Raw genomic sequence first — 19,195 nt, 5'->3', positions numbered from 1 at the left:
CCATACTATTATTTTTGTAGGCCCAGATTCCTGAAACTGGAATCTAGAGATGATAGCTCCTTTAAATTGTTCTCTTAGAAGGGAGGGGACCACCGCCAGGGCAGTCTGTGTGACCTGGAGCCCTGCTGTGGCCTCTTGCTTCCTGAGATGAGCAGACTCATTCACAGCAACATTCTATATTCTATCCCTCTTTCTTTTTTTCAGGACAGGGATGGCCAGTGAGCTTTCTCTTAGAGGTCAGGGAACTTGGCTTATCCCAGAGCAGCAAATGTAGCAGGCCCCAGTTTGCTGATTAGGGGAGGCTGAGGGCTTGTGGGTACAGGCGGGAGTCACTGTTGGGGAAGAAGAGAGGCAGCTCAGTGCAGTCACTGGGCCCTGATCAGGTTTCAGGCCTGAGACTGCTGGTGTCTCCAGGCCCCAGGCAGCAAGGCTGCTGGGGACAGCTGGATGAACACATTCCTGGCCTCTCATGCTCCATGCTCCCTCCTCCCCAGATCTCCCTGGTGAGCCAGGAGCCCGTGCTGTTCGCCCGCTCCATCACGGATAACATCTCCTACGGCCTGCCCACTGTGCCTTTCGAGATGGTGGTGGAGGCCGCACAGAAGGCCAATGCCCACGGCTTCATCATGGAACTCCAGGACGGCTACAGCACAGGTGTGGAGCTGGGGGTGGCCCCTCTCCTGGGCCCACAGGGTCACCCTCAGGGACATAACCCTCTGAGTTAAGCACTGCCCCCTGCCACCTGCTCTTTTTTTTGTAGAGATGGGGTCCCGCTACGTTACCCTGGCCAGACTCGAACCTCCTGCGCTCAAGCAATCTTCCTGCAATCCCCAAAGTGCTGGGATTACAGGCATGAGCCACTGTGCTGTGACTCAGCAAAATATTTATTAAGTAAATTATTATAGAAGCCCATACACTGGAATATTATGCTGCTGGGAAAAAGAGGAAGTAGAAGAAGGGGGAGGAGGTGGAGGCGGAGGAGGAGGTGGAGGCAGAGGAGGAGGCAGCTCTCCATATAGCAGTATGGAAAGGTCACTGAGATAGGATGCTGAGTGAGAAGAGCCAGGTGCAGAGCATAAGGAGCTGGGTTTTTTTTTTCCTATTAAAGGACTGGGGAGATAAAAATAACATGTTCATATTTGCATAAAGAAACTAGACAAGGACATGTAAGCAACTAATGAAAGACGTTTTGGTGGGAGCAGGAGGGAACTGAAGAAAGAACTTAAACTTTTCATTATTTAGAGTTTTATATATTTTTAGTTTTTTTAGTTTTTTTTTTTTTTTTGAGGCAGGGGCTTGCTCTGTCACCCAGGTGGGAGTGCAGTGGCGTGATCACGGCTCACTGCAGCCTCAACCTCTTGGGCTCAAGCCATCCTTCCACCCCACTTTTTATTTTTGTTGTAGAGACGGGGTCTTGCTATGTTTCCCAGGCTGGTCTCAAATTCCTGGGCTCATGCAATCCTCCTGCCTCCCAAAGTGCTGGGATTACAGGCATGAGCCATTGTATCCAGCCTGTATTTTTAGATTTTTGAACCACACGAATAGCCCCTTTTCAATAATTAAATATATACAATGTATAGGGGGGTTGGGGAGATGTTGATCAAAAGATAAAAATTTTCCCTTAGGAATAAGGTCAAGAGACCTGTTGACTATAGTTTTTTGTTTGTTTGTGTTTTAATTGAGACAGTCTCACTCTGTCGCCCAGGCTGGAGTAGAGTGGAGTAATCTTGCCTCACTGCAACCTCCGTCTCCCAGGTTCAAGCGATTCTCCTGCCTCAGCCTCCTGAGTAGCTGGGATTACAAGTGCCCACCACCACACCTTGCTAATTTTTTTTTGTATTGTTAGTAGAGACGGGGTTTCACTATTTTGGCCAGGCTGGTCTTGAACTCCTGACCTCAGGTGATCTGCCTGCCTTGGCTTCCCAAAGTGGTGGGATTTCAGGTGTGAGCCACTGTGTCTGGCCAGCTATATTTAGTAACAGTGTACTGTGTACTTGAAAATAGCTAAGAGAGTAGATTTTAAGTGTTCTCTCTTTAAAAAAGTGATAAATATGTGAGATAATGTATATGTTAACTGGCTTGATTTAGCTATTCCACAGTGTATATGTATTTCAGAGCATCACGTTGTACACCATTAAATACAAACTATTTTTACTTGTCAATTTAAAAGAATTTTTAAATTAAAATATACTAAATACACTAATTTTTAAAAAAATTACCTCGATATGAACTTAAGTAGTTCTAGTAATTAATTGATATAATAAATATATATTATTTTAGAATAGTGTTTTGAAATTCAGTAGAGGTGGTGGTTGTGCAACATTGTGAATGCACTAAATGCCACTGGATTATTCACTTTTTTTTTTTTTCTTGAGATGGAGTCTCGCTCTGTCGCCCAGGCTGGAGTGCAGTGGCGCGATCTCGGCTCACGGCAACCTCTTCCTCCCGGGTTCAAGTGATTCTCTTGCCTCGGCCTCCCGAGTAGCTGGGATTACAGGCATGTGCCACCATACCCGGCTAATTTTGTGTATTTTTAGTAGAGACAGGGTTTCACCATATTAGCCAGGATGGTCTCAATCTCCTGACCTTGTGACCCGCCCACCTTGGTTGGCCTCCCAAAGTGCTGGGAGCCACCGTGCTCAGCCCGGATTATTCACTTTACAATGGTTATGTTTATGTTATGTCAGTTTCATCTCAATGAAAGAAAAATGAAATAATAAAGAACTGGTGGCGTGGCCAGGTGCAGTGGCTCACGTCTGTAATCCCAGCACTTTGGAGGCCAAGGCAAGAGGATCGCTTGAGGCCAGGGGTTTGAGAACAGCTTGGGCAATGTAGTGAGACCCCACCTCTACAGAAAAATATTTTAAGTTAGCCAGGTGTGGTGGCATGCACCTGTAGTCTCAGTTACTCAGAAGGCTGAGGCTGGAGGATTGCTTGAACCCAGAAGTTTGAGGCTACAGTAAGCAGTGATTGTACTACTGCACTCTAGCGTGGGTGAGAGAGTGAGACCCTGTCTCTAAAATAATAATAATTGATTGACTCAATTTCCTATTGATGGACATTTGAGTCTATTTGTTTTATTTTTTGCAATAACAGCGCTGTGGGTCACAGGTGACCTGTGTCTATATTGTTGTGCATGGGAGGAAGTCGGTCCATGGGGAAAATTGGTCCAGGTGGGCTTGCGGGGCCACAGGCCACACATCTGTGGTGAATACACACAACCTTTGCACTGCACAGACTCATAGACCCAGGGTTATTGCTGCAGCTCTTCAAGCCATGGGGCTCGCTCCAACTCCCCTTCTCCAGGAGGACGGGTGAGGGCCTGTCTCCCTGCAGCCTCACCTGCACTGTGTGCTATCAGATGTTTGGGTTTCTGCCAAATGAATGAGTGAAAATTGGTAACTTGCTATCAATTTGCATGTAGGCTTAATCTGCATGCCCCTTATGAGTTGGGTGGGGGGAACATCATTTCATGAGCTTTCAAGTTGTGGGTTCCAGCCCGCCCTTTCCACAGCTGCAGGGCAGGGCCTCTCACTCTTCCCCGGTGCTGCCCGGCCTCACCCATTGCTAAATTGTCTCTGTGCCTCCACCATACAGAGACAGGGGAGAAGGGCGCCCAGCTGTCAGGTGGCCAGAAGCAGCGGGTGGCCATGGCCCGGGCTCTGGTGCGGAACCCCCCAGTCCTCATCCTGGATGAAGCCACCAGCGCTTTGGATGCCGAGAGCGAGTATCTGGTGAGTCACAGGGTGGTGGGCAATGCGGGGGCAGGAGCGGCTCCAGGTGGCCAGAGCCCCCATCGCCCAGCAGATGGATGCTGAGAAGAGACGGGCCCCAGGAGCTCTCCCAGACTATCAGCCTCCTGGGCTGGTGAATTCCTGGTGTTGAGAGTGGGGAGCCAGGAGCCACTCTGGACCCAGCCTCCAGGCTCCAGGCAGAGCTGTATGGTGTGGGGCAAGAGAAGGCATCAGAATGGGGAGACCTGGGTCATGAGTGGTGGCTTACACCTGTAATCCCAGCACTTTGGGAGGCCGAAGCAGGTGGATCACCTGAGGTCAGGAGTTGCAGACCAGCCTGGCCAACATGGTGAAACCCCATCTCTACTAGAAATACAAAAACTAGCCAGGTGTGGTAGCACATGCCTATAATCCCAGCTACTTGGGAGGCTGAGGCAGGAGAATTGCTTGAACCTGGGAAGTGGAGGTTGCAGTCAGCCGAGATTGTGCCACTGCACTCCAGCCTGGGCGACAGAGCCAGACTCCATCTGGCTCAAACAAACAGACAAAACAAAACAAAATAAAATAGGCCCAGTATGATGGCTCATGCCTATAATCCCAGCACTTTGGGAGGCCAAGGCAGGTGGATCACTTGAGGTCCGGAGTTCGAGACAAGCCTGGTCAATACAGTGAAACCCTGTCTCTACTAAAAATACAAAAATTAGCTGGGCATGGTGGTGCATGCCTGTAACCCCAGCTACTCGGGAGGCTGAGGCAGGAGACTCACTTGAACCCGGGAGATGGAGGTTGCAGTGAGCTGAGATTGTGCCACTGCACTCTAGCCTGGGCGACAGAGTGAGACTCCATCTACAAAAAAAAAAAAAAAAAGGCTGGGCGCAGTGGTTTATGCCTATAATCCCAGCACTTTGGGAGGCCGAGGCGGGTGGATCACCTGAGGTCAGGAGTTCAAGACCAGCCGGGCCAACATGGTGAAATTCCATCTCTACTAAAAATACAAAAGTCCGCCAGGTATGGTGGCAGGTGCCTGTAATCCTAGCTACTTGGGAGGCTGAGGCAGGAGAATAGCATGAACCTGGGAAGCAGAGGTTGCAATGAGCCGAGATTGCACCACTGCACTCCAGCCTTGGCAACAGAGTGAGACTCCATCTGAAAAAACAAACAAACAAACAAAAACAAAAAACAGAATGGGGATACCTGGATTAGCAGCTCCGTCCTACAGTTTATAACTGTGTGACCTCAAGCTAGTGCTTCCCCTCTGAGTCGCATTCTCACTGGTCAGGTGGGCCCAGTCATGTATTTGCAGATGGCTAGCAACCTCAGTCTATGCGCGGATTGATTCATTTGTTACACAGAGAGTTACTGAGCTCTTCTCAGGCACCAGGCACCAGGCACCATTCTGGGGTTATCGTGGGCTAACTAGACAAAGACCCTTGTCCCCATGGTGTTTCCATTCCAGTGGGGAAGGCAGATAAGAAACAAGGAAGGCCAGGCGCGGTGGCTCACACCTGTAATCCCAGCACTTTGGGAGGCCGAGGCCAGGCGGATCACAAAGTCAGGTGTTCGAGACCAGTCTGGCCAACATGGTGAAACCCTGTCTCTACTAAAAATACAAAAATTAGCTGGGTATGGTGGCGGGCACCTGTAATCCCCTAGCTACTTGGGAAGCTGAGGCGTGAGACTCGATTGAACCCACGAGGCAGAGGTTGCAGTGAGCTGAGATCGCACCACCGCACTCCAGCCTGGGTGACAGCAAGACTTAAAAAAAAAAAAAAAAAAAAAGGAGGGGGAAGGGAAGGACCAGAAGACTGGAGGGCCAGGGTAGAGCTGATCCCCCATTCACCAGGTGCCTCATTGTGTCTGGCCCTGAGCTGTCTCCCTTTAAGAAAAACCCAGGAAGCTGGCCATCGTTTGTGAACTGAGCCTCAGAGAGGTTAAGCATCAGCCCATAGGCCGTGGCATGAAGCACGGTTGCGGGTGGGGCGTCCGTGCCATGCAAGCCAGGCCCCCACTGTCCCCGCAGATCCAGCAGGCCATCCATGGCAACCTGCAGAAGCACACGGTACTCATCATCGCGCACCGGCTGAGCACCGTGGAGCACGCGCACCTCATTGTGGTGCTGGACAAGGGCCGCGTAGTGCAGCAGGGCACCCACCAGCAGCTGCTGGCCCAGGGCGGCCTCTACGCCAAGCTGGTGCAGCGGCAGATGCTGGGGCTTCAGCCCGCCGCAGACTTCACAGCTGGCCACAACGAGCCTGTAGCCAACGGCAGTCACAAGGCCTGATGGGGGGCCCCTGCTTCTCCCGGTGGGGCAGAGGACCCGGTGCCTGCCTGGCAGATGTGCCCACGGAGGCCCCCAGCTGCCCTCCGAGCCCAGGCCTGCAGCACTGAAAGACGACCTGCCATGTCCCATGGATCACCGCTTCCTGCATCTTGCCCCTGGTCCCTGCCCCATTCCCAGGGCACTCCTTACCCCTGCTGCCCTGAGCCAACGCCTTCACGGACCTCCCTAGCCTCCTAAGCAAAGGTAGAGCTGCCTTTTTAAACCTAGGTCTTACCAGGGTTTTTACTGTTTGGTTTGAGGCACCCCAGTCAACTCCTAGATTTCAAAAACCTTTTTCTAATTGGGAGTAATGGCGGGCACTTTCACCAAGATGTTCTAGAAACTTCTGAGCCAGGAGTGAATGGCCCTTCCTTAGTAGCCTGGGGGATGTCCAGAGACTAGGCCTCTCCCCTTTACCCCTCCAGAGAAGGGGCTTCCCTGTCCCGGAGGGAGACACGGGGAACGGGATTTTCCGTCTCTCCCTCTTGCCAGCTCTGTGAGTCTGGCCAGGGCGGGTAGGGAGCGTGGAGGGCATCTGTCTGCCATCGCCCGCTGCCAATCTAAGCCAGTCTCACTGTGAACCACACGAAACCTCAACTGGGGGAGTGAGGGGCTGGCCAGGTCTGGAGGGGCCTCAGGGGTGCCCCCAGCCCGGCACCCAGCGCTTTCGCCCCTCGTCCACCCACCCCTGGCTGGCAGCCTCCCTCCCCACACCCGCCCCTGTGCTCTGCTGTCTGGAGGCCACGTGGATGTTCATGAGATGCATTCTCTTCTGTCTTTGGTGGATGGGATGGTGGCAAAGCCCAGGATCTGGCTTTGCCAGAGGTTGCAACATGTTGAGAGAACCCGGTCAATAAAGTGTACTACCTCTTACCCCTAACCTCTGACTTCTACTTGGGCCAACTGCCTCATCGCCCAGTTAGGTTTTTCCACCAGACCACGGCTCTCCTCTCAGCCCTCTCTGGTGGAGTTGCAGAGAGACTTTGGGTGGTCCAGGGCCTCCCCCTGTGTCTGGGAGCCCCATCTGCACTCCTCCCATCCCAGGGTCTCTGGTGTAGACATTCCTGTCTGCCTGTCTCCACGGGGATTGCGCAGGGGGATAGAGACGTTGCCTTGAAATCCCAGGGGCCTCTGTGCTTCCCGGGACAGCTGAACTGAGGCCCAACAAATGCCACCTGTTCTTTTCCATCGGGGCCCAGGCACCCGACACCCACCCCAATCCATGCAGTAAAGAAATATTACCCAGGAGGACAGCTCAATCAGCAGGGAGGTTTGGGCCCGGACACAGGAAGACCCCTGCGGTGGTTATTCTTACTTGCTGAATTGTGAAGAACTCTGGGGTCCCAGGAGGAGGGCTCTGTGCCAACTGGTAGAGTAGTATTTCAATTTTTTTTTTTTTTTTTGAGACAGAGCCTTGCTCTGTCACCCAGATTGGAGTGCAGTGGCACAATCTTGGCTTACTACAACCTCCACCTCCCGAGTTCAAGCGATTCTCCTGCCTCAGCCTCCTGAGTAACTGGGACTACAGGCACCCACCACCACACCCGGCTCATTTTTGTATTTTTAGTAAAGATGGGTTTCACTGTGTTGGCCAGGCTGGTCTCAAACTCCTAACCTCAGATGGCCTGCCCACCTTGGCCTCCCTAAGTGCTGGGATTATAGGCGTGAGCCACCGCGCCTGGCCAGCCTTGTCTTTCTCTTATAAAAGCACTTGTCATTGGATTTAGAGGCCACCTAGATAATCCGGGCTGATCTCATCTAGCGGTCCTTTGCATCTGCAAAGACCCTTTTTTCCAAATACGGTCACTTCACAGGTTCAGGGGTTTGACAAGGGAAGCTTTTGGGGGCCACCACTCAGCCTGCTACAGAGGGGAACTTGCAACCTTGGTTGAAGTTAACCTCAGGACTTCCTTTTTGATTTTAGGAAGCAGAGGGGGTTAAGTTTTCAGAGACTTAGCATATCTTCAGATGTTTCCAGAGAAGTTGGAAATTCCAATTTTCATGTGAGATCAGCTGTTTTTTATGTATTGGCTCAAATTATTTTGACAAAACCGAGGACCAACAAGCACATGTGTAGAGGTGGTCTCCAGCCTGTGCATCTCTAGTTTGTAGCGTCAGTGTTGGACATTCCTGTTCTGCAAAGTCCCTCGCAAGGGGCTTCCTGGCCCCAGCCCAGCCCCGTTCCAGTCTAAGCTCCTCTCCCATCTGCCTGTCTCTTCTCATCCCTGCACTTTCAGGCTGAGAATTCCAGATTCTTCTCCCTCTCCTATGGAGTTAGCTCCAGTGCCTTGATTTGTAAACCCACACCCAAAAGTGCGCCATAGGCAGACAAAAGAACCTTCCAGAGACCGAATTACCTTCTTTTTAGGAGGTACATAGGAGTTTTAAAAAAGTAATGTTTAGGCCAGATGCAGTGGCTCATGCCTGTAATCCCAGCACTTTGGGAGGCCAAGGTGGGTGGATCACGAGGTCAGGAGTTCAAGACCAGCCTGGCCAACATGGTAAAACCCTGTCTCTACTAAAAATACAAAAATTAGCCGGGCGTGTTGGCACACGCCTGTAGTCCCAGCTACTCGGGAGGCTGAGGCAGGAGAATTGCTTGAATCCGGGAGGCAGAGGTTTCAGTGAGCCGAGATCACGTCACTGCACTCCAGCCTGGGTGACAGAGCGAGACTGTCTCAAAAAAAAAAAAAGTTTAATTTTGAAATAATTTTAGATTTACAGAAAAGTCACAAAACAATACAGAAAGTTCCCTTATGCCCCACCCCTCACAGTTTCTCTTCTCTTAAAATCCCACAGTACTGGGGTACATTTGTCACAATTAGGAAACCAACATAGCATGTCACTATCAGTGAAACTGCAAGCTGTATTTGTGTGTCACTAGTTTTCTTACTAATGTCCTCTTTCTGTTCCAGTGTCCCACATTACATTTAAGATAGGAGTGTTTTTGTTTGTTTGTTTGTTTGTTTTTAGAGACAGGTTCTTGCTCTATTGCCCAGACTGGAGTGCAGAGGTGCTATCACAGCTCACTGTAGCCTCAACCTTCTGGGCTCAAGTGATCCTCCCACCTCAGCCTTCAGAGTAGCTGGGGCTACAGGTGCACATCGCCATGCCCAGCTAATTTTTTCTTTTGCTTTTTTTTTTTTTGTAGAGACAGGCCTTGCTTTGTTGAACAGGCTGGTCTCAAACCCCTGGCCTCAATCAATCCTCCCACCTTGGCCTCCCAAAGTGTTGAGCTTATAGGCATGAGCCACCACGCCCAGCTAGAGATATAATGTTTTCTTTTGTTTGTTTTATTTTGGCAGGGTTTTTTGTTTTAGTTTTTGAGACAGGATCTCTCTCTGTCATCCAGGCTGGAGTGCAGTGGCACAATCTTAGCTCGCTGCAACCTCTGCCTCCCTGGTTCAAGCGATTCTCCTGCCTCAGTCTTTTGAGTAGCTGGGACTACAGGCGCCTGCCACCACACCCAGCTAATTTTTTTGTGTTTTTAGTAGAGACAGTGTTTCACCATGTTGGCCAGGCTGGTCTTGAACTCCTGGCTTCAAGTAATCCACCTGCCTCGGCCTCCCAAAGTGCTGAGATTAGAGGTGTGAGCCACTGCGCCCAGCCTAATGTTTTTAAAATTGTTTTTATTGCAGCAACATGCAGACAATATAAAACTTATCATTAGTGACATCTAGTACACTTATGATGTTGTGTAACCATCATCATTATCTAATTCCAGGACATTTTCATCACCCTAACAGAAAACCCTATACCCATTAACAGTCACTCCCCAATTCTTCCTCCACACAGCCCCTGGCCGCCAGCATTCTAAAATCTGGCTCTGCAGATTGGCCCCTCTGGCCTTTTCATGTACATGGAACCCTATACTACGTGGCCTTTCGTGTCTGGCTTCTCTCATCATGTGTACAAGGTCCAACCATGTTGTGGCATGAATCAGCACTTTATTCCTTTTCATGGCTGAATGATATCCTATTGTATGGCTATGCCACATTTTGTTTATCCATTCATCTGTTGATAGATATTTGGGCTGTTTCCACCTTTGGGCTATTGTGAATAGTACTGCTATTAGTGCTGCTAATAGTGGGAACATTCATGTTTTGTTGTTGTTGTTGTTGTTTGAGACGGAGTCTCGCTCTGTCGCCCAGGTTGGAGTGCGGTGATGCAATCTCGGCTCACTGCAAGCTCCGCCTCCCGGGTTCATGCCATTCTCCTGCCTCAGCCGCCCGAGTAGCTGCGACTAGAGGCGCCCACCGCCACACCCAGGTAATTTTTTGCGTTTTTAGTAGAGACGGGGTTTCACCGCGTTAGCCAGAATGGTCTCAATCTCTTGACCTCGTGATCCACCCATCTCGGCCTCCCAAAGTGCTAGGATTACAGGCATGAGCCACCGCGCCCGGCCCAACATTCATGTTTTTTTTGTGGGAGTTTGCTTTCGCCTCTCTTGGGTAGATGCCTGGGAGTGGAATTGCTGGGTCCCATGAGAACTCTGTGCTCAACGTTTTGAGGAACTGCCAGACTGTCTTCCACAGCGGCTGCACCATTTTGCATTCCCACCAGCAATCCATGAGGGTTGCAATTTCCCCACATCCTCACCAACACTTGTTATTTTCTGGTTTTGTTTTTGTTTTTAATTATCACCATCCAGGGCCGGGAACAGTGGCTCACATCTGTAATCCCAGCACTTTGGGAGGCTGAGGCAGGCAGATCGCTTGAGCCCACGAGTTCAAGACCAGCCTGGGCAACGTGGTGAAACCTCATCTCTACTAAAAAATCCAAAAACTGCTAGCCGGGCATGGTGGCACACACCTGTGGTCTCAGCTGTTCATGAGGCTGAAGTGGGAGGATTGCTTGAACTCGGAAGGTGGAGGTTGTGGTGAGCTGGTATCATGCCACTGCACTCCAGCCTGGGTGACAGAGTGAGACTCTGTCTCAAAAACAAACAATATAAAATTGTCACCATCCTGGTGGGTGTGGAGAGTTATGACTTTTAAAGCTGACTTTTTTCTGTTACAATTAATTTAGCAAATGTCACTGTCCTCCTTCTGTCCCACACAGTGTGCTGGGTAAACCAGGAGAAAGTAATTGCAGTCGAGGGCTTTGGGAACAGCACAGTTGGCCAGAGAGACAGATGAGGAAAACAAGCAGGGATGAGAGAGAATGAAGAGGAGCACGGCACCCCAGGGCTGGCTTAGTCCTGGCGCCAGGACTTAGTTTACTCTGTCATTGTTTCTTTCCCACATTAGAGTTTGTCTTCATCACTGCTGTATTCCCCAGTGCCTAGAACAGTGGCTGACACATAGTATGTGCTCAGTAAACAGCCATTAAAGAAATGTTTGAGCTGAGCATAGAGGCCCATGTCTGTAATTCCAGCTACTCGGGAGGCTTAGGTGGGAGGATCACTTGAGTCCACGAGTTTGAGGCTGCCATGGGCTATGATCGTGCCACTGCACTGCAGCCTGGGCAACAGAGCATGACCCTGTCTCTACAAAATTTGAAAAAGAAAGGAATGATTGAACTCTTCGATATGCCGTAACATAGTGTGAAAACAATGAACACAGTCCAATCACCTCATTTAACAGACAGGGAAACTGAGGCCCAGAGAAAAGAAATGACTGCAGGGTTATAAATGTATTTAGCAGAATGGCCAAGGCTGGAACCCAGGTCCCCACACTCCCTGCTGCTGCCTTCGTCTGGAGAGTGTATTTCAGTTTCCAACTTGCCAGGGCTAAAGACGACCCCAATCCCAGGAAGATGGCAGACTCAGCCCAAGTCAATGCCTGAGGCAGCTGCTGAGCCATGAGAGGTCTCTGAAGTGACTTGGGGTCCTAGGAGCCCACAGGGACCCTGGTGATGACTTCAGGGTGAAGATGTGCACAAAGCACCTTGCGAGGCAGAGCCCCTTCCCCATGCCCCCTGCTATCTGCTGCAGCTCCCCTGTCGACTGGACTGGTCTGTGTCAACCTCACTCTGTGTCGGCAGGTTCAAAAGCCACACCTGAGAAAACGGAAACAGCACAGAGGAGGGTTAAGCCCGATGGCCCTGGCTCTTCAGGGTTTTGTTCCAGAACTTTTGGGGTCATAAATTTCTTGGGAAATTTGATGAAAATTCTAGGAACTCTCCTCAGAAAAATACCCATGCACATAAAGCATTGTATGCAACTTGTGGGAAACGTGTGGTATTTTACAATTCCTCTGTCAGGGGGCCCTGAGTTAAGGACCGTTGCTCCACTGGGATTAACAATTAAGAATTAAAAATTAGCCAATGTAAGTATCAGTGTGGCTGGGCGCCCTGGCTCATGTCTGTAATCCCAGCACTTTGGGAGGCCAAGGCGGGCGGATCACGAGGTCAGGAGATGGAGACCATCCTGGCTAACACAGTGAAACCCCGTCTCTACTAAAAATACAAAAAAAAATTAGCCGGGCGTGGTGGCGGGTGCCTGTAGTCCCAGCTACTCGGGAGGCTGAGCAGGAGAATGGCGTGAACCCGGGAGGCGGAGCTTGCAGTGCGTGGAGGTCGCGCCACTGCACTCCAGCCTGGGCGACAGAGCGAGACTCCGTCTCAAAAAAAATAAATAAATAAATAAGAAGTACTGGTGTAAGGCAGGACACAGTGGTGCACGCCTGTAGTTTCAGCTCCTCAGGAGCCTGAAACGGGAGGATTGCTTGAGCCTGGGAGGTTGAGGCAGCAGTGAGCCATGATGGCGCCACTGCACTCCAGCCTGGGCGACAGAGTGAGACCCTGTCTTAAGAAAAAAAATGCCGAGCACTGTGGCTCACAACTGTAGTCCCAGTACTTTGGGAGGCTGAGGCAGGTGGATCACTTGAGTCTAGGAGTTCAAGACCAGCCTGGGCAACATAGTGAGACCCCATCTCTACTAAAAACTTTAAAAAAAAGAAGAAGAAAAATTAGCCAGGTGTAGTGGCGTGTGCCTATAGTCTCAGCTACTCCGAAGGCTGGGATGGGAAAATCGCTTAAGCCCAGGAATTCAAGGCTGCAGTGAGCCCATAATTGTGCCACTGCACTCCAGCCCGGGTGATAGAGCGAGACCTTCTCTCTAAACAATAAAATAATAATAATAATAGATTGGAAGGCTACACAACCAATTCATGTTGGAGTTTGTCTGGGTATTGAAGACAAAAGCATGAAGATATGCAATACCTTACTTCTTTAAGAATAAAAATAGACTTGGCTGGGTGCAGTGGCTCACACCTGTAATCCCAGCACTTTGGGAGGCCAAGGTGAGCGGAACACTTGAGGCCAGGAGTTCGAGACCATCTTGGCCAGCATGGCAAAACCCATCTCTACTAAAAATACAAAAATTAGCCGGGCGTGGTGGCACATGCCTGTAGTCCCAGCTACTCGGGAAGCTGAGGCAGGAGAATCACTTGAACCCGGGAGGCGGAGGTTGCAATGAGCTAAGATCGTGCCACTGCACTCCAGCCTGGGCAACAGAGTGAGACTCCATCTCAAAACAATGAAGTCCATATTTCTAAAAAATAAAAATAAAAAAATTAAAAAGACTCAAAGCAAAGAGAGGAAATCGTTAGCAATGGCTAGTCCTGAGCGGTGGGTACCATGTGTTTGTTATATTGTTCTATGTACATTTCTGAATACTAGAATTTTCTTCAGGGGTAGGAGAGGGAACACTGTAAACAAACTAAACAAACCCTGGCATGATAAGTGCTGCTGTGGCCCAGGAAGACTTCCTGGGAGAAATGGAAAGCAGCTGTTCTGACTTCTGTTGACTGAAAATAGCAGTCGTTAAGCCACCCAACAGCAAGCCAGTGCATCCGGCTGAGAACCTGGCCCAGACCTGAGCGGCCGGCCGGGCGTCTCCACCTCCTCCCTCCCTAGCCGCCTCTATTCAATGAGCCCAGCCTGAAACAGGGGCCTGGCATTCTAGACAGTTCCACAGAGAAGAAACTCTGGAACCCAGCACTGACACAGCCATTGCTGCTGACCATTTGTTTCTGGCCCCAGGTAAGGAAGCTGTTATTTCAAATAATAATACGGACAATTTTTTAAATTTTTTTTTTGGCAGAGGGAGCTCAGAAGGAGGTTAATTCTTTAATGTTTGCTTTTTGTTTTGTTTTGAGACAGAGTCTCTGTCTCCCAGGGTAGAGTGCAGTGGCGCGATCTCCGCTCACTGCAAACCCCGCCTCCCATATTCAAGCGATTCTCCTGCCTCAGCCTCCCGAGTAGCTGGGATTACAGGCATGTGCCACCACACCCAGCTGATTTTTGTATTTTTAATAGAGATGGAGTTTCATCATGTTGGCCAGGCTGGTCTCGAACTCCTGACATCAGGTGATCCACCTGCCTCGCTCTCCCAAAGTGCTGGGATTACAGACGTGAGCCACTGTCCTCGGCCAATGTTTGCTTTTTAAATTGTGGTAAAATACACATAACATAACATTAACCATTGCATTTATTTATTATTGTTATTTTTTAGAGACAGGGTCTTGCTCTGTTGCCTAGCCTGGAGTGCAGTGGTGCCATCATAGCTCACTTCAGCCTTGAACTTCTGGGCTCAACTGATCCTTCTGCCTCAGGCTCCTAAATAGCTGGGACTACAGCCTGTGCCACCATGCCTGGCTAATTTTTAGATTTTCTGTAGAGACAGAGTTGTGGTTATGTTGCCTAGGCTGGTCTTACATTCCTAGTTTCAAGCGATCCTTCTGCCTCGGCCTCCCAAAGTGCTGGGATTACAGGTGTGCCCCATCACGCCCAGCCAACCATTTTAAATTGCATGATCCAGAGGCATTAAGCAGACTCCCAATGTTTCCTTTGACATTTAGCAAGCATATTTATTATCTTCTTAGATCTGAATGACCAGCCTGCAGATATCAGAACCGAGATGGATTGATGATGATGACAATGATAACCATTCAGGTATAAAACATTTTCAGTGCAGCAAACACGAGTCTATGCGCTTTATGTGATTTTTTTTTTAAGACAGGGGTCTCACTCTGTTGCCCAGGCTGGAGTGCAGTGGTACGATCTCACCTCACTGCAACATCTGCCTCCCAGACTCCAGTGAGCCTCCCACCTCACCCTCCCAAGTAGCTGGGACTACAGGCATGTGCCACCATGCCTGGCAAAATTTTTTTTTTTTGTATTTTTTGTAGAAACGGGGTTTCACCATGTCACCCAGGCTGGTCTCAAAGTCCTGACCTCAAGTGATCCTCCCACCTTGGCCTCCCAAAGTACTGGGATTACAGGTGTGAGCCACTATGCCTGGCCCACTTTATGTGACTTTAACGCTTTTAATCCTCACAACAAGTCTATGAAGCAGCTACTACGGTTAATGCAGTTTTTTCAAAAAAGAAAAATGAGGTTAAGTAACCTGCAAAAATTAAGTGGCACAGCACTGGGAACTGAACACAGGCAGCCCGAACCCTGACCAGAGCCCTGAACCTTTTCCCTAGACTGGGGACAGGTTTATAGGCTTATCTAATCTCCACCCAAATTATTTTCCACCTTTGCCTTTTTTTTTTTTTTTTCCTTTGCAGTTGTCACTAAGGGCTGCTTGTTGCACCTCAGGAGCTGGGGATAGTGAAGGAGATACCTGTGCTGAGTCACTAACAGGAAAGGGCTGAGAAAGAAGCATCGCCAATGGTTTCTCTTTCCTGGTTTTTATTCTTTCCTCAGAGAGGAGGAAGTTGACCATTTAAACAGGTGAGTTGGCTGGGCGTGGTGGCTCATGCCTGTAATCCCAGCACTTTGGGAGGCCGAGGCAGGCGGACCACTTGAGGTCAGGAGTTGGAGACCAGCCTGGCCAACATGGTGAAAACTCATCTCTACTAAAAACACAAAAATTAGCCAGGTGTGGTGGGGAGGCTGAGGCAGGAGAATCACTTGAACCCGGGAGGCAGAGGTGGCAGTGAGCCGAGATTGTGCCTCTGAACTCCAGCCTGGACGACAGAGTGAGACTCCATCTAAAATAAATAAATAAATAAATAAATAAATAAATAAATAAATAAACAAACAAACAGATGAGTCACCCAGGGGGAGGTCCTAACAGCGACCTAAGGTGACAGTGACAGTGCCTCACATTATTACAGCTCTTTACCTTTGACTACCTGAGATCAGTCATTCAGTAAGCATTTATTGAGAACCTCCGTCTACCAGAAACTGTGCTAGGTTGTGGGTCACAGTGGAGACTAAGAGGTCCGAGATCACCTACATCCTACTGGGTAATAAACTCCAGATGGTGAAAAGATGGCAGCAGACAAGAGAGTGACTTGGGAGAGGAGCACTGTTTGAGCTGGGGTGGTCTGGGGAGGTGATATGGGAGCTGAGCCCTGAATGACAAGGAGGTACCAGCTTTGGGTATCTAGAGGAAAGAATGATCCCAACCACAGTCTGGCACTTCCTCAAAAAGCTCAACATGGACCTGGGCACAGTGGCTCACAGTTGTAATCCCAGCACTTTGGGAGGCTGAGGCGGGAGGATTGCTTGAAGCCAGGAGTTTGAGAACAGCCTGGGCAACATAGTGGGACCCCATCCCTACAAAAATTTAAAAATCAGCCAGGCGTGGTAGTGCATACCGGTCGTCCCAGCTACTTGTGTGGCTGAGGCAGGAGGATCCTTTGAGCTCAAGGAGGTTGAGGCTGCAACGAACCATGGTGGTGCCACTGCACTCCAGCCTGGATGACAGAGTGAGACCTCGTCTCTAAAAATAATAAAATAAAGCCAAAAAGTGCAAACAATCCAATGTATGAATGGATAAACAAACTGCAAACCGTGGTATGCACATACTGTGGGATATGATTCAGCTGTAGAAAGGAATGAAGTGCTGGTACATGCTATAACATAGATGGTCCTTAGAAGCATTATGCAAATGAAAGATGCCAGGCAGGGAAGGTCACCTATGGTATGATTCTTTTTACATGATATATTCAGAAGAAGCAAATCTATAGGGATAGAAAGCAGATTAGAGGTTACCAGGGCATGGGGAGGGAGGAATGGGGAGTGACTGCTTGCTGGATACAAGATGTTTTTTACAGGGTGATGAGAAAGTTTGGAAGCTGGAGAGACCTGGTGTTTGCACAATATTGTGAATACATTTAATACCAATGCATTTGTACACTTTAAAATGGGTAAGTGGCCAGGTGCAATGGCTCATGCCTGTAATCCCAGCACTTTAGGAGGCCGAAGTGGGAGGATCGCTTGAGCCCAGGAGTTCGAGACCAGCCTGGGCAACATAGGGAGACCCCATCTCTACAAAAAATAAAATATTAGTCGTGCGTGGTGGCCTGTGCCTATAGTCCCAGTTACTTCACAGACTGAGGGGGGATGATTGCTGGGCCCAGGAGTTTGAGGCTGGAGTGAGCCATGATTGTACCACTGCACTTCAGCCTGGGTGACAGATTGAGACTCTGTCTCAAAAATAAAAAAGAAAAAAAGGTTAAGTGCATGTCATGTGAATTTCACCTCATCAAGGAAAAAAAAAAAAGATAAGTAGGGGAGGAGATGGATCCCACAAAGGATTGTGAAGTACAGAGACCTCCAGACAGCAAGAGGTGGGACATCTGCCAAGCAGGACACGGCCAGGGGACAGAGTGGGGGGCACCCAAGGGAGGAAGGAGGAGGGGACAGGAAGGCGAGGGCTCCTGGGGCCATGGCGAGGTAGTTGACTTTTATTTCATGAAAACTGGGGGCATTGAAGGGTTCTGATCAGGGCGTGACCTGATTGATCCTTGGGCTCAGTGTGGAGAAGGTACTGGACGAGGACCCAGAGAAGTGGCTCCCCCAACACCCCGGGCAGCCAGGCCTGGGCTCACCCCACTCTGTAGATAAGGAAATGCTGCCTGCAGAGGCTGCAGCCACGGTCTCATCGCCAAACCTTCTGCAACCCTTATTCAGCATGTCCTGCTGTTATTTATAGCTGAAGGAACCTTGCGAGTGGAGGGTGCATGGAGAAATGCTTCAAGGAATTTTCTGCTCTGCATACAGCAACAAGCAGTGGCCAGCAAGGGCCCCGGGGCAGCAGCACAGGCCCACACAGACATGCAATAGAGGTCCTTTACCTCCCCTGGACCCAGGTCCATGCTGGGCACGCCCTGGCTGGGAAGAACTAATTCAGGGCAGTTACACAAGCGCTGCCCGAGGCCCTGTGTTGACAAGGCCTGGTCAGCTGCCAGATAAATTCCTTACCTCTGGTCCTTAATGATCTGGCTTTTCTGGACAATCCATGGCCTAAAGAAAGGGAAGATTCTTTTCAAACTGGAGCCTGGCTGGAGGCCATGAGACCGTAGTGGTGACTGATGTGTGCTGGCTCTGGCTGAGGACAGGCTTCTCCAGAACAGGAAGATGGCTGCTTTGGGGACATCTGGATTGGACATCCTTCATGCCCCACTGCCACCAGGCAGTCTCCCCTGATTTCTCACTACCATAGCTGGTCTCCTCCATCTTCATTTATTTGGCCTGTGTGGGCTTTTCTAGCATGTTGTTTGCTCTTCAAACACTCTAGGAATTTCTTAAAGGCTGGTACCTGTGTCCTCATGTAGCAGGTGTGCTCCCTGCTCACAGTAGGTGCTTTTCTTTTCTCTCTCTCTCTCTTTTTTTTTTTTTTTTTTTTTTTTTTTTTTGAGACAGGGTCTTGTTCTGTCGCCCAGGCTGGAGTGCAGTGGTGCAATCTCGGCTCACTGCAACTTCTGCCTCCTGGGTTCAAGCAATTCTCATGCCTTAGCCACACAAATAGCTGGGATTACAGGCATATGTCACCCTGCCCAGCTAATTTTTGTATTTTCAGTAGAGATGGGGTTTCACCATGTTGGTCAGGCTGGTCTCGAACTCCTGACCTCAAATGATCCACCTGCCTCGGCTTCCCAAAGTGCTGGGATTACAGGCGTGAGTCACCGTGCCTGGCCTGATGGTTCCTTTCTGACTCATCTCAGACTCATCATGGTGGAAATGAAGCCTTGAGATTTTCTCCCAAACTTGTTTTCCTCTTAGTCTGAGTTAATGGCACCGTATGCTGGTTGCTTAAATTGAAAAATCTCAGTGTCGTACCTGACTCCTCCCTTTCCCCGTGACCTGTCGGAGCGTCGGCTGGACTTCCTGTGTTGGAGTCTATTTCCCGATCCCTTTGCCCCACCCGAATCCAAGCTACCTTAGCACCTGCAGGGCT

At 49.8% G+C, this 19,195-nt stretch overlaps 1 protein-coding gene across 18 annotated transcripts in view, besides 3 other annotated features; it reads left to right on the top strand.

Annotated features, from left to right (window-relative positions):
• The window catches only part of ABCB9 (ATP binding cassette subfamily B member 9), a 56,505-nt gene extending 39,189 nt beyond the window's left edge, over positions 1-17,316 (top strand). For 9 of the 18 annotated variants that reach the window (NM_001437843.1, NM_001438398.1, XM_011538096.3 and 6 more), the window contains 3 exons: positions 495-654; positions 3,598-3,734; positions 5,755-6,934. In NM_001437843.1, the coding sequence (NP_001424772.1) occupies positions 495-654; positions 3,598-3,734; positions 5,755-6,015 (558 nt within the window). In that variant the 3' untranslated portion in view covers positions 6,016-6,934. Of the gene's footprint in view, positions 1-494; positions 655-3,597; positions 3,735-5,754; positions 6,935-11,115; positions 11,403-14,882; positions 14,979-15,572 lie in introns of those variants that run through there. The other 9 variants (XR_007063062.1, XR_001748646.3, XR_429086.5 and 6 more) reach the window with 4 other exon arrangements.
• Positions 5,508-6,008: an enhancer, noted in NCBI's record as "H3K4me1 hESC enhancer chr12:123414465-123414965 (GRCh37/hg19 assembly coordinates)". NCBI's record gives its function as "activates a minimal SCP1, AML or CMV promoter by ChIP-STARR-seq in naive H9 embryonic stem cells {active_cell/tissue: H9 hESC(naive)}" and the evidence as "EXISTENCE:reporter gene assay evidence [ECO:0000049][PMID:30033119]".
• Positions 12,094-12,594: an enhancer, noted in NCBI's record as "H3K4me1 hESC enhancer chr12:123407879-123408379 (GRCh37/hg19 assembly coordinates)". NCBI's record gives its function as "activates a minimal SCP1, AML or CMV promoter by ChIP-STARR-seq in primed H9 embryonic stem cells {active_cell/tissue: H9 hESC(primed)}" and the evidence as "EXISTENCE:reporter gene assay evidence [ECO:0000049][PMID:30033119]".
• Positions 12,595-13,095: an enhancer, noted in NCBI's record as "H3K4me1 hESC enhancer chr12:123407378-123407878 (GRCh37/hg19 assembly coordinates)". NCBI's record gives its function as "activates a minimal SCP1, AML or CMV promoter by ChIP-STARR-seq in primed H9 embryonic stem cells {active_cell/tissue: H9 hESC(primed)}" and the evidence as "EXISTENCE:reporter gene assay evidence [ECO:0000049][PMID:30033119]".
• Positions 17,317-19,195: the final 1,879 nt, after the last annotated feature.

Source organism: Homo sapiens, chromosome 12, assembly GCF_000001405.40.
Source record: "Homo sapiens chromosome 12, GRCh38.p14 Primary Assembly".
In the NCBI taxonomy this organism is placed as follows: domain Eukaryota; kingdom Metazoa; phylum Chordata; class Mammalia; order Primates; family Hominidae; genus Homo; species Homo sapiens.
This window is presented reverse-complemented; position numbering and strand designations above follow the sequence as displayed.